Source organism: Homo sapiens, chromosome 20 (genome assembly GCF_000001405.40).
Source record: "Homo sapiens chromosome 20, GRCh38.p14 Primary Assembly".
Lineage (NCBI taxonomy): Eukaryota > Metazoa > Chordata > Mammalia > Primates > Hominidae > Homo > Homo sapiens.
Genome location: NC_000020.11, coordinates 60,776,993 through 60,790,398, shown reverse-complemented (window position 1 = coordinate 60,790,398; position 13,406 = coordinate 60,776,993).

The following is a 13,406-nucleotide window of genomic DNA, read 5'->3' as shown; positions in this document are numbered from 1 at the left end:
AAGGGCATTCTGATAGGACAGAAACAGGACATGGGAGGGGACAAATAAAGGAATAAAAGCTGGCCACCCCAGCCAGCAGCAGCCACCCAGTCCGTCCCCTTCCACGCTGTGGAAGCTTTGTTCTGTCGCTCTTCACAATAAACCTTGCTATCGCTCACTCTCTGGGTCCATCCTGTCTTTAAGAGCTGTAAGTCACTGCGAAGGTCTGCGGCTCCATTCTTGAAGTCAGTGAGACCACGAACCCACCAGATGGAATAAACTCCGGACACACCAGTAATGCCCTTTCCTGCTGTAGTAATGCCCCTTCTGTACTCTGTTGCACCATTCCATATTCTCAGTCTATGAAGCAGATGAAGTTTCCTCCACACCCAGCTCAGAAGGAGGATGCCTGACTCAAGCTCTTACCCACTGGACCACGGTGTCCTCTTGGCCATGGGCTTAGCTGAGTTGGGCCACACGGGCCTCACTGGAGGTTCCAGTTGGAGCCATGGTTTAAGCCACTCTCTCCTGGGGCTTGCTGAGCTCTGGGGATGACATCGTGGAGCTGCTGCCATCTGTCCTGTGACGATATCTGAAAGTGAAGTCATGCTGAGGGAAACGAGGCTGAAAGATGAGGAAAGATGGATTCCGACTGGCATCGTTGGAACACCTGGATGCTGTCGATAGCATCAGCCAATACTTGATGTCTTTCCATAAGCCGGGGTAAGCTGTGTTTTCCGTCACTTGCAACACAAAGAGATCTAATTCAAAGGCGTTCTTATGTAGAATGTGGTCTGCAGTCTGCCCTACCTTCAAGCCAGGCTGAGGGCGGGTTCTTGCGTCATCTCCTTAAAGTGGCTTCTGTAATGTCCCTACTCGGTGAACCCCTTTAGGCTCCTCAGTGCCTCCAGTAGTGGATGAAATTACGCCCCAGGGGATCAGGCCTCCACAGCTGACCAGTGACAACTCCCTGACTTTATTTTCCATCACCCCTTACATCTGGACAGCACCCTAAATGTTCCAGCTACCTTCTGCCTTTCACCATGCTCCTTCCACCCAGCAAGCTCTTGCCACTGATATTCATGCTGCCCAGTTTTGAAGTTCAATTTGAACTTGAACTTCATGCCCTAAGTCACAAAAAGCTTTCCACCATAACTCCTGAGTTGGCCTCCAATGTGGCTCATTTCTTGAGCATCTACTATGTCCCACTGAACTTGGCTCATTTATTATCTGCTTTGTTCCACTGAATGGGAAAATTAAACCCTATGAAGACAGGGACTTCTGTGCTCCCAGTTCCTACTTCAGACCCTGGATCACAGCCAGCACTCAATAAACATTTGTACATCATCATATAGGTTTCCTATAACAACTCTGAGGGACAAAGTTCCTGCTGCATGAATGAAGGGAAACTGAGGCTCAGAATGAATCATGCCGCTCAAGTTCACAGCAACCTAGTCAGGTGTGGGCTGGTCCATTTCAAACTTATGCTCTTGCCATTGTGAAAAACTGTTTCCCGTATTCATTCCCTCATTTGTTCACTCACTAATAATTCACAGAGTTATCTACTATGGGTTTTGTATTGGAGTCATTTGCAATGCAGGTGTAATTCACTCCTTACCCCATACAGTGGGCATCAAAGGGCACCCACTGCACAGAACCAGTGAATGCTACTGCTGAGACACTCAGAAGATGCTCAGACAAGTCCCAGCAAGGGCAGGCCTTGGTCCGTTTTCCTCTGCCTCACTGCAGGTTCTCTGGGAGCCGAGATCATGTCCCATTTGCTTTGTTATTTATTCCAAATTAGCACACAGCGGGATTCCTTATTGATTTAAAAAACTTACTACTGTTACAGTGAATTGCCATTTCTACTCATCTCATCAAAAAACAAATACAGAAAAGAGATCAATTAGCAGAGCGTGGCCGAAGCTGGAACTGTGTGCAAGGCTGTGCTGTGAGAGAAGGCTGAGGAGGTCAGAAAGCTGACTGGAGAATTCAGGCTTCTTCCTGGGTAAAGCACCTCCCAGAGGGTAGGGTTTATACCTCCAGGAGTATATGGGCTTTTCCCTAAGGCATGCAGATGATATTCTGAAGATGAAGTGTTTGAACGTGAAAAACTGACAGCATTATGTTGGATCTGATGGTGTCTATCTTAAAACATTCAGGCTTGTTGTCACTAAAATAGCTCAGATTAATAAGGGGCTTCTTCTTTTCCCAGAGTGACTGGGGATCTCCAGGGCTTTGAAAAGACGAGGTGATGGGTAGACATATCGACATATCACAAAAAGTGGGTTTTTTTTAATGTGGAGGAAAGAAGAACCTGAAAATAAGGGAAAAATGGCAAATGAAGGAGAATCACTTAATTCTGATTCTGGCAACATGATAATTTGTGAACATTCAGACGTGGGTCAGGAGGGAGGTTCCTTTTTCCTTGTTAAAGATTGTTCAGCAGATGAATTGTGAATAAGGGGTGACTGTAGAAAATATATGTTGAGTTCTGTAGAAGAACAAATTGTTTTTAAGGTTACTGTGGTCATCAGATTGCAGAACAAAAAAGACTTCTATTTTTAGTTCTTTCCTTTAGTTGCTATACAAGCTTGACATATTTGCTCAAAAAAAAAAAAAAAAAGAACATACATCTAGAGGCATTTTATAATCTGGAATTTTTGCTAATTAACACTGACGGTCTCCTAATTTGGTGAAGTTTGATTGCGTGAATACTTTCTTTCAAAGAATTCTATAATTTTAGACTTGGAGAAAGCCTGAACAGTTGTCACAAGTATGACAGATGTGAAGATGAGCTATGATTTTTCCAAAAGTTTTAGGGAGGGAAAGGCGGAGAAGGGAGGAAGAAAAAATATGAAGGTCAGGGAGATGTGGGTGTGGATCTCGGGGCCATCACTCACTCGCTCTGTGAGCTTTGTCAAGTTTCCTAAACACTGTGACCAGCTGCATTCCGGAGGAGAGGATACAGAGAGGGGTTTGGCATGGAGCAGGATGACTATTAGGGTTGAACTATTCAACCACAAAGATCCAACTGATTTCTTCTGACTTTTCACTAAGGTGCCTGCCACTGAAATAAGATTTATCAGTCTGTCAGTTTTGTTATTTCTGGAAGGCATTTCAAAACATCCTCCAAGGATCTGAATTAATTTTGTAATAATGACATAATATCAAAATATATATAACATATATATATAATATATATAGATCCCTTGGGATCTATACCTAAAGAGGGGGTGGAGGTAAGAAGAGGGAGGTGGGGGAGAAGAGGACAGAGGAGGAGGGAGAGGGGGATGAAGAGGAGGAGGGGGAAGAGGAAGGGGTAGAGGAGGAGGGAAGAGGGTGGTGGAAGGAAAGAAGAAAGGAGTAGGAAGGGGAGAAAGGAGGAGGAGGAGGGGGAAAGGAAGGGGAGGAGGAAGGGAGAGGAGGAAGGGAGAAAAGGAGGGGGAATGAGGAAGGGAGAAAAGAAGAAGGGGAGGAGGAAGGAGGAGGGAGGAGGAGGAGGTGGAAGAGGGAAGAGGAGGAGGAGGTTGAGGAGGGTCTTCGTCATCATACTGCGGTGGCCTGACCAGCAGTCCCAGCTGACCGCACGGGAGCTCTGGAGCTGAAGCAGCCTATTACAGGGCATGGGGCTGAGAAGGCAATGCCTTTATGCCTCTGCATCCATTCCTCTTTAGTTGGGCTGCCCCAGAAGGTGTGTGAGTGAGGAAGCTCTCTGCTTGTGAGGCAGCCCTGGAAGAGGGTGATGACTGAAGGTTGCCTGCTCACAGCACCCAGCAGCTGGTTGGGAAGGTGAGCTGGCAGATCATCCCTGCCCACCCAGCTGCCCTTAACTCCCCGTTTTTAAGTCTGTAGGACTGAAATCAGAGGCCTCTTAGGGCCCCAGGGGAATGAATGAGAGATTCCAGATAAAATGCTTAGCACAATGCCTGGCACGGGAAACGTCAATGAATGTGAATAAAAGCAATAACAATTATTTATTATTATTAATAGTTATAATAACTTGAATATGACTATTTGGGGATGCTTTACAAATATCTCAGTGTACCTAACCTCAGGCATCATTACAGGCCGGCGAATTGACTGCTGTGCCCACTTTATAGATGACAGCCACAGACTCATGGAGGATGAGCGCAGAGCCGTGACCAGGGCGGGGGTTTCAGCCAGGAGTTGGGATCACAAGTCGTTTTTGAAAATTTCACAGTGGTCCTGTCTTGCTGACATTGTTTGAGATGGTTTTTCATCCTTTTTTGAGTGGTCTCCTGACTTTTCCTGGTCTTGCTGGAAGGATGTTTGGTGGATAAGGAGGAGGATGTGACCTCCCCCAGCGTGGCTCTCCACAGAATGCAGCCAAAGTCCCGTCCTTCATCTTGAGGTCGCACTCAATGTTCCTGAGCTCCTCCCCGTGGTGGGGGAACAGCTCCAAGGGCTGAGCATGAGCACAGCTGCTTCTGCGTGTGAACTACACAACTGTTCTGTGATTGCCTAGAATTACGATGTTTCCAGTTCGGTGTAGTAAAAAAATGTGCTTCAGTGGATGCTTTTTATCCTTACAGCACCAGTGTCAGAAGCACATGCATAATTTAAAAACTGTATATTTTCAATTATTGTGAGTTTCCCAAACAAGGGACTTTTTTTTTGTGAATGTTAAATGCAACCAGGTGATCATTAAAATCTTTTTTTGTGTTGACAGTTTCTTCAGCTCTGAAACTGAGTTAAAATTTCTTAGTAGTAATTGAGATCTCTTGGGAAAAGTGTTTCAAAAAAGAAAAAAAAGATGTAAACAGATTTTCCAGCAAAGAAAAAAAATAAAGAACAGAGGGGAAAAGAGAAATAGGCTTCAATTTTACTTGTTTTGGAATCAAAGTCCTAGCCAATATCTCACTGAGATGAAAATTATTCCAAGTTAGAGGAGCAGGGCTAAGAATGTGTGTTTTTGTGAAATGTATTCACATTTTGGCCTTGCTAATACATGTTACTATCTAGCCAAAAATGACAACATAACCAAAAGCACTGGCCAGTGTTATCTAAAATATCAGATATATAGTCTGATATGATCTCATTATTGCAAAATTAATTCAGATCCTCGAAGGATGTTTTGCAATGCCTTTCAGAAATAACAAAACTGATAGCCTGATAAATCTTATTTCAGCGACACCTTAGTGAAAAGTCAGAAGAAATCAGTTTGATCTTTGTAGATGAATAGCTTGATGTTCAAACTCCTTCCAGCCTTTAGATTCCATGTCTGTAAAAATATCACATAACAATTGGCGATGCTGAGACATGTCAGGACTCAAAGTTTCTTGGTTAGAATAATTGATTTCTCGTTAAACTCCTATACATACACTTTTAATTTCTTTCAAACCAAATTTCAACCCCCACACATGATTTTTCCAAAACTCTTCTTGTAATAAAATGTCTAGAAAACTGAGAAAGTTTAATTCATTTTCAACTTAGAAAGCTAAGAGCCACCTTAAATGTTGTAAGTGACATCTCAGGGTAGCCCCACAGCTGCTCCTGACAGTGCTCATAGGGTGGCCAGCATTGGTGCACTCATCACACTGGGGCTGTTTTGTGGATCCAGATGAGGAGGTAGAGGCTCCCCTGTCTTTCTTTTTGAGAGCTGTGTCTCCACGACATCCATTAGCCAGACACATCTGCACAGAATATGGAGGTCATGATAAACATCAGTAGTGTGTCCAGATGGCAGTCCCCATGTCTCTTTTTTCCCCTTTTCATCCAGGTGTTTTGGCAATAAAAATAGCTGCCCAGCTTTTTATGCAACGATTGCTCTCTCCGAATATTCAGTGTACCTTCCTTTGTACCAGTCCAGAAGTCACTGAAGCATTTCACGGCATGACATCTGGAGAGGCTCTGGGGCTGGGCTGCTGGGTTGGATGTCAGGTGTACGTCTTCCTGACTGCGGCATCCGGGACATCGCTTAAAAGTTCAGCGCTTGGACTTCCTCATCTGTGGAGTGCAGTTATTCATGGACTTAGGAACGAGATTAAGTGAATTCATAACACAAATGGCTTTGCACCGTGCCTGTCCACAGTGAGTACTCAGTACACCGGGCTGTTTTATCATTGTTGTTACTGCTGTCGTTAGAGTGTGCAGAACCTGATTGCTGTTTTGATTTATTGCTTTCAAGATTCTACAATTCTCTACAGGCTTGTGGTCAAGCCGTTCAATAAGAAACTTTTCTCACCTCACCTGCTGTCAGGATTTGATACAAATTTCGTGTTGGTGTAGAAGGAGATTATACTAGCAACAAATGCTAATAACGCAGGGGCCTGAATGCTTTTCAATTAAGTAGATGAGTGTCAAGTAGAGTGTTCTGGTTGAAGAAAGAGGCACCAGCAAGAATGACAGGTTTAAAGTTAAGATTCGGACTTCAGTGCAGTTGGCCTTTTGCTTTTATAGCGGAATGGTTTTCTAACATCTTCTAAAGAATCCTCCAAATTGTTCGGTAGGTATTTTCCAGTACAATACTGAGCAGAATTGATACACTAAAAATTTTTCCCATTTTATTTATTCATCCATTCAACAAATACTTATGGACCACCTACTACATATATGGGTGTGAACAAGAACCTCAAGTCTGATGGGAAGGGCCTGTGTCCTGGGCTGCCAGGAAACAGCTGTGAAGGAAGGAGCAGCTGTGACGGCTACTGTTGTGTCCGAGAGGGGTGCAGTGGGTAAGAGACTGGAACAGAGACTGCGCTGGAGTATGGTGGGGGTGTTAGGGGGCCTGCAGTTAGGGAAACATTGGGTTTTGAGGGGAAGCATTGAAGCTGAAATCTAACTGATAAGAGGAGACCAGCATCCAAAGACCCGGGGAAGCGCGTTCCAGGCAGTGAGGCAGCAAGCACAGGGCACAGGTGTGTTTCTATGTTGTATCCGTGTGTGTGTGTGTTGCATCATCTGTGCACGCTATGTGTATTGTGTGTTGTGTTTCTGTGTATTGTTTCTGTGCATGCTCTGTGTGTTTGTATGTTGTGTGTGTATCTGTATGTTTGTATGCTGTGCCTATGTGTATTCTACGTGTTTGCATGTTGTTTCTGTGTGTTCTGTGTGTTTGTGTGTCTGTGTTTGTATTTGTATCTCTGTGTGTTGTTTCTGTGCATGTTCTGTGTGTATATTGTGTCTTTGCACCTTCTACATGTTTGTATGCTGTTTGTGTGTGTGTTCTGTGTGTTTGTGTGTCTGTGTTTGTATTTGGGTCTCTGTGTGTTGTTTCTGTGCATGCTCTGTGTGTTTCTATGTTGTGTCTGTGTATCTGTATGTTTGTATGCTGTGCCTATGTGTTCTACTTGTTTGTATGTTGTGTGTGTGTTCTGTGTGTTTGCGTGTCTGTGTTTGTATTTGGGTCTCTGTGTCTTGTTTCTGAGCATGCTCTGTAGGTTTGTATGTTGTGTCTGTGTATATGTATGTTTGTATGCTATGCCTATGTGTATTCTACATGTTTGTATGTTGTTTCCGTGTGTGTGTTCTGTGTGTTTGTGTGTCTGTGTGTGGGTAAAGAGCAGCTGCTGGGACTGAGCCTGTGTCCAGAGCTGTAGCTGTCTCACAAGGTGGCTGTTGGGCCCCTCCCATGGGTCCAGCTAGGAGCAGACCTGTCTTACTCCAGGGTAAGAGTCAGGTCATCAGAGCTTGCACAGTCCAGGCACACCCAGGATGGCCAGGCAGGAATGGAAAGCAGCTCCACACCTGTGCCACCCACTGGCGTTCCCAACTGTGGAACTGAAGCTAATTGCTCACAGGCACCTGCACACTTCCGCCACACACGTGTGCACGCTCTGACACCAAACTCAAGCTGCCATACCATCACTTCTCTAGAAGTTCAACAAGGGAAGTAAGTTCCAAGAAGAAGAAAGCATGAATACAAGAGCAAGAAGACGAGGCTTAGTTTGGGGTTTCAAAATTGGTTTCAGCTGCAAACTCTGGGTCACAGCTCGTAAAGGTGCTGTCCATGGGAGAGAAGAGCAAGGTGGGTAGGAAAGGCTTTGGCCTCCTGGGCAACTTTGATTCTTAGCTTTTCTGGGACTGCATGTAAATGTCCTGTTGTTCCTGTTTGTACTTTGAGCCCTTTGCTCTAACTCCAATTGTCTAATCTTGGTTTGGACAAACTCCTCCAAGGACAGGAACAGGCCTTTTCTAAATTGCACTGAGACTCCAGGTTTAGATGGAGGATTGGTTGCCATGGACTCAGACTCATTCAATATCAGGGCTCTAGGAAGGTTCCTTAGAGACAGAGTGACAAGCTCTTCATTTAGAGAGAAAGTCCAGACAGACAGGATGGCCGCACCAGAGGCAAGTGAGTTAGAGACAGATGCTGGCCTTGAAACCTGTCCTAGGTCTGAACCTTGATCTTTCCCTTTGTAATTTATCGTGGATGACTTAAAATTAGCTTATTTCTCTTTTTTTTCACTGCATTTCTGCTTTGCAGTGAACAATCTCTTAAACACATTTGGAAAATAACAACATATCTTTCCCAAGGTAATTTCTTATCCTGCTTTTCTGATTTATGCATTTACTACTATTTTAACATCTTCTTTTTTTTTTTTTTTTTTTTTTTTTTTTTTTTTTTTGGGATGGAGTCTTGCTCTGTTGCCCAGGCTGGAGTGCAGTGGCATGATCTCGGCTCACTGCAAGCTCCGCCTCCCAGGTGCATGCCATTCTCCGACCTCAGCCTCCCGAGTAGCTGGGACTACAGGTGCCTCCTACCATGCCTGGCTAATTTTTTGTATTTTTAGTAGAGACGGGGTTTCACCATGTTAGCCAGGATGGTCTCAATCTCCTGACCTCGTGATCCGCCCGCCTTGGCCTCCCAAAGTGCTGGGATTACAGGTGTGAGCCACCACGCCCGGCCTATTTTAACTTCTTAAACTCTCATATGGTATTCCTGGCATGTAGGCAATAACTGATACACTTATCTTCAGTTTGGCGTTGTTTTTCTCCCTTCCGTCTCAGGGAACTCACATATACTTTCTAACTTTTCCTGTCTTTGCTGCCAAGACCTTCCATAGCCATTTTTGACATGTTTACAAATACCTTTGGCCATAAGAGTAGGGCATATTTGAACTTCTTTAAACAACTGATAACATGGAAACATTCTTATTATAATCAATTTAATCATTGCAGAGTACACTGAGTGAAAGAGGCTAAACCCTCCTTTGAGTGTCTCTGTCACACCACTGTCTCCTCATGGAAATTCTTTAACCTTGGGGAGCATAAGAGTGTGCTCCATAGACCTTAGCCATCAATTCCTATAGCTATGGGCATGCACATACATTCACTTTTCTTTTTTTTTTACATAGAATTAGGAATTAAGATCATGTCTTTCTCTGGTCTTTTAATAATATGTTGGTTCTAAAGAGCAGTGATTATCACCTGGGAGCAATTTTGCCCCCACCCAGGGGACATTTGGTGATACCCAGGGAAAATGTTGGTTGTCACAATGTGGGAGGGGGAGCTACTGGCATCTAGTGGGCAGAGGCCAGGGATGTTGCTAAACATCCTACACTGCACAGGACAGGCTATCAACAGAGTGAGTCAGTAATACTGAGGCTGAGAACCCTGGGAGGGCTCTACCTTCCCTCCTTGGGGACAGTGGTGCCCATGGTGTGGATCCTGAGTAGACAACAGGCACCCACGAACATTCAGGTGGTAGCTTAGTGTCCAGGGTTGCAAGTCTTGCTGCAGTAAACATCCAGAAGCACCCTTCTTTGTGGTATCAGAGGCAAAGTATTCAGCGAGGTCGAACTCCTTGCTGGACTGCAGACACAGACACACCACATTGTCACATGCTTCCAAGTAACACACATTCTGTTCCTTGGAATTTCCTTCCCATTCTTCTGCCAGAACTACTGGAACAAGAGTACTTCCTACTCTTTTTTCAAGGCTTCCTTCAAGAACTTCGTTTTGGAAGCCCTCCCTTAAGACCAGACAGAGCAGTTATTCTTTCCCTGTGTGTACTTGGAGGGTGAAGTGCCTCCTACGCAGACCATGGCCTCCACGAGAAAAGGACCCAGGCCAGTCTTGCCCATGGTATGAAGCCCAGCATTTAGCACAAGGTTGGCACAATGGCAAGCACTCAGAAAATGTCTGTTGGTTGAAAAAGTGACTGAACATATGTTAGCATTTATCTCACAAAAGCAATTATTTAAATATGCCCTGTCATCTTCATTAGACTATGATGTCATTATGGACAGGGGCTGTTTTTATTTTCATTATCTCCAGTGCCCAGGACAATACTTGGCACATAGCAGCATGAATAAAGGAATGAGTGTGGCTGACTGGCTAACTGAATGAATGAATGAAGTGTACCTAACTGAATGAATGAATGAAGTACAGCACCCTAATCTGACCTTATCTGATCTATGCTCATCCAAGATAATTTTCCTCTTTAATAAACATTTTGGTATTCAAAGCACTCTGCAGCCCCACAGTGAGGACGCTGGGTATCTATTGCTGAATAGCTGATTATTCCAACAACCTAGTGGCTGAAAACAACAAACATTTATTATCTTGTAGTTTCTATGGGCTGGGAATCTGGGTATGGCTGAGCTAGGTGGTTCCAGCTTGGGGTCTCTCACCAGGCTGCACCCAGGTGTTACTGGGCCTGCAGTTACCTCAAGGCTGACTGGGGTCTGTTTGCAAGCTCATTCATGTGTCTGTAGGGAGGCCACCATTCCTGACCAAGTGAGCCTGTCTGTGAGACTGCCTTAGGATGTGGCCAGGAGAGAGTGCCCAAGGCAAAAGCCACAGCCTTTTTATGACCCAATCTCAGAAGCAGCGTCTTATCCCTTCTACCATATTCTGCTCATTAGGAGCCAGTCACTAGGTCCATCCCACACTTGTGAAGAGATCACTCCAGGATGTGAATTTCAGAAGGCTGTAGCATTTGGACCATCCTAGAATCTGCCCACCACAGTGGCAGTTAATTGGTGTTTGTTTATTTGGATCAGGTGATTCCTGGGTTGTTTTATTATTTCAACAAGTTCAATAGCTTATTTCTTTAAAAATGTGCTAAGAAAGCACAGGCCACAGTAGGCACTGGTGGAGCTGATAGTCCAAACAGCCAGTGCAGGTCCCCTCCCAATGAACCCTTCAACACTGCTGGCCTTGACTGGGGTTAGGAGGGGCATTGTTAGAAAAACTGAGGGGTTCACAATTTGAGGCCCTGAAATTAATCAAAGACAATAATTGGCGCCTAAGGCACTAAGAGTAAATATCTCACAGAAGAATTGGATGCCAAACCCTCAGGTGGCAGAATCCCTGCCCAGCTCTGCAAAGGGAAGCAGAGCTATGTTAGCGTCCTGGGGCTGCTGAAGATAGTTGCCACAGCTTGGGGGACTAAAACCACAGAAATGTGTTATTTCAGTTCTTGAGGCCAGAAGTTGGAAGTCAAGAGTTGGCAGGGTTGGTTCCTTCCGAGGGCTTTGAGGGAGAATCTGTTCCATTCCTCTTTCTTGGCTCCAGAAATCCTTGGTGTTTCTTGTTTTATTGTAGGCATATCCCTCCAAGCTCTGCCTCCACTTTAGACTGGCATTCTCCTCTCTGTGTTTCTGTGTCCAGCTTTTTAAAAGGACATCATTGGATTTAGGGCCCACCCTAATCCTGTATGATGTTATCTTAACTTGATGACATCTACAAAGAGATTGTTTCCAAATAAAGGCACATTCATAGATACTGGGGGTTAGGATTTGAATGTAATATTTTGGGGGATTCAATTCAACCTGCTACTATGGAAAGTTATAGTAGGAAATGGCATTTATGCTTGAAGCATTTTGCAAATAGGTTTCTCAAGGTCGTCTCTGTTGTTCAAGCTCAGGACAGGTCCTGCCTTTCCTATGAGCCTTTGTCCTGTCTCTTTCAGCTCCACCGATGGCTACAGAGCTGATGTGCAGCCTTTATGGGCTCAGACTGTTTCCAGCTTTGCCTGTTCCCTTCCATATTCCAAACTCTGCATCTTCCAGACACTTGGCCCTTCCTCCTTCCTGAATTAGAGCTACTGTGTAATAATTATACCCGTTTCATGCCCAGCTCACAGCCTTGGCATTTGCTGTTGCTGTGCCTGGAGCACTTTCCCACTGCTTCTTTGCATGTTTGGCTCCTTCTCTTATGTCAGCCTCAGCTCTGGTGCCTCCTCCTCAGCTAGACCATCCCTGACCTGCCTGTACAACAAGGCCTCCCCATGTCTCCTCCCCAAGCATTTACTTTTCCATGAAGTTTTGTCATCTTCATAGAAAATGCCATGAATCCTGCTCTTTGTCTGTCTTACCAGTGACATGTGAACCCCCAAACAGCTGCACTCCACTGGCCTCTGCTGCTTCCTCCTCATTTTTAGAATACACCTGCCACCTGCCAGGTGCTCATAAATATTCATGGAGTGAATGAATGTCTCCCTGCAAGGCTATGCATTATTTGAATTTAGGATATCTGTCTGATTTGTTTCATCTTTGTGTCATCCTCAAGGCCCAGAAAAATCGTTACATTCATAAGGCCCTCAATAAATATCGATTGCGTGCATAAATGCAGTGAATTGATGGGTTTATTCATGATGTATCAGATTCATAGTAGTTGTTCAATGTAGAAAAAGTAGGGTCTGGAAAGCATTCCATTTGATAGTGTAGCTTCAGTGTTTTCAGTGTTTCCTGAAATTCAATTATGTATCATTCACTTTCATTTTCATACAGCTAGCACAATCATTTATATAATATATTCTTTAAAATAACTCAATTTTTAAACATAAATCAATTTACTCAGTAATAAAATTTTATCATTATTGTAAAGGGAAAACCAGTATCATTTGTTATAAATAGAATGTAACCCTTGAAACTGAATATAATAAAATAAAACACTGTTACTAAGTTCTAGCTACACAGGGAAGGATCTGAGCTTGAGGTGGGAACCCTCTCTTTGTTATAAAAAGAGATTTGGTTTTGATTTTGCACCATAGTTTCGCAAGATGTTACCATTGGGAGAAACTGGGTGAAGAGTACATGCAATCTCTCTGTTATTTCTTACAACGCATGTGAATCTAGAACTCCTTCAAAATAAAAAGCATAATTTTAACAAGGAGTTTAGCAAGCGGTGCAGAGATGTTAAGTAGCAGTTAATCTCCTCGATCACATCAGGAATATTCAAACAACACCTGAGAAGGGAAAAGTTCCTTCCAGAGTGATTCCATTGTATTCCATGACATTCCTATGCACCATATGACATCATTTTGGAAAGAATAATGCGCATGGCCCATGCTTTGGGAAACACTGGCATAGGAGGACCCACAGATGGGCGCAAATGTAAAGTCCTCCAGAGTCATCTTGGGCCCAGCTACTGTGATTCCCAACAGCCACTGGGACACGGCATGCAACCACCTGGTATCTGGCAAGGACAAGAAGCCCTGGAAACTCACACATGCT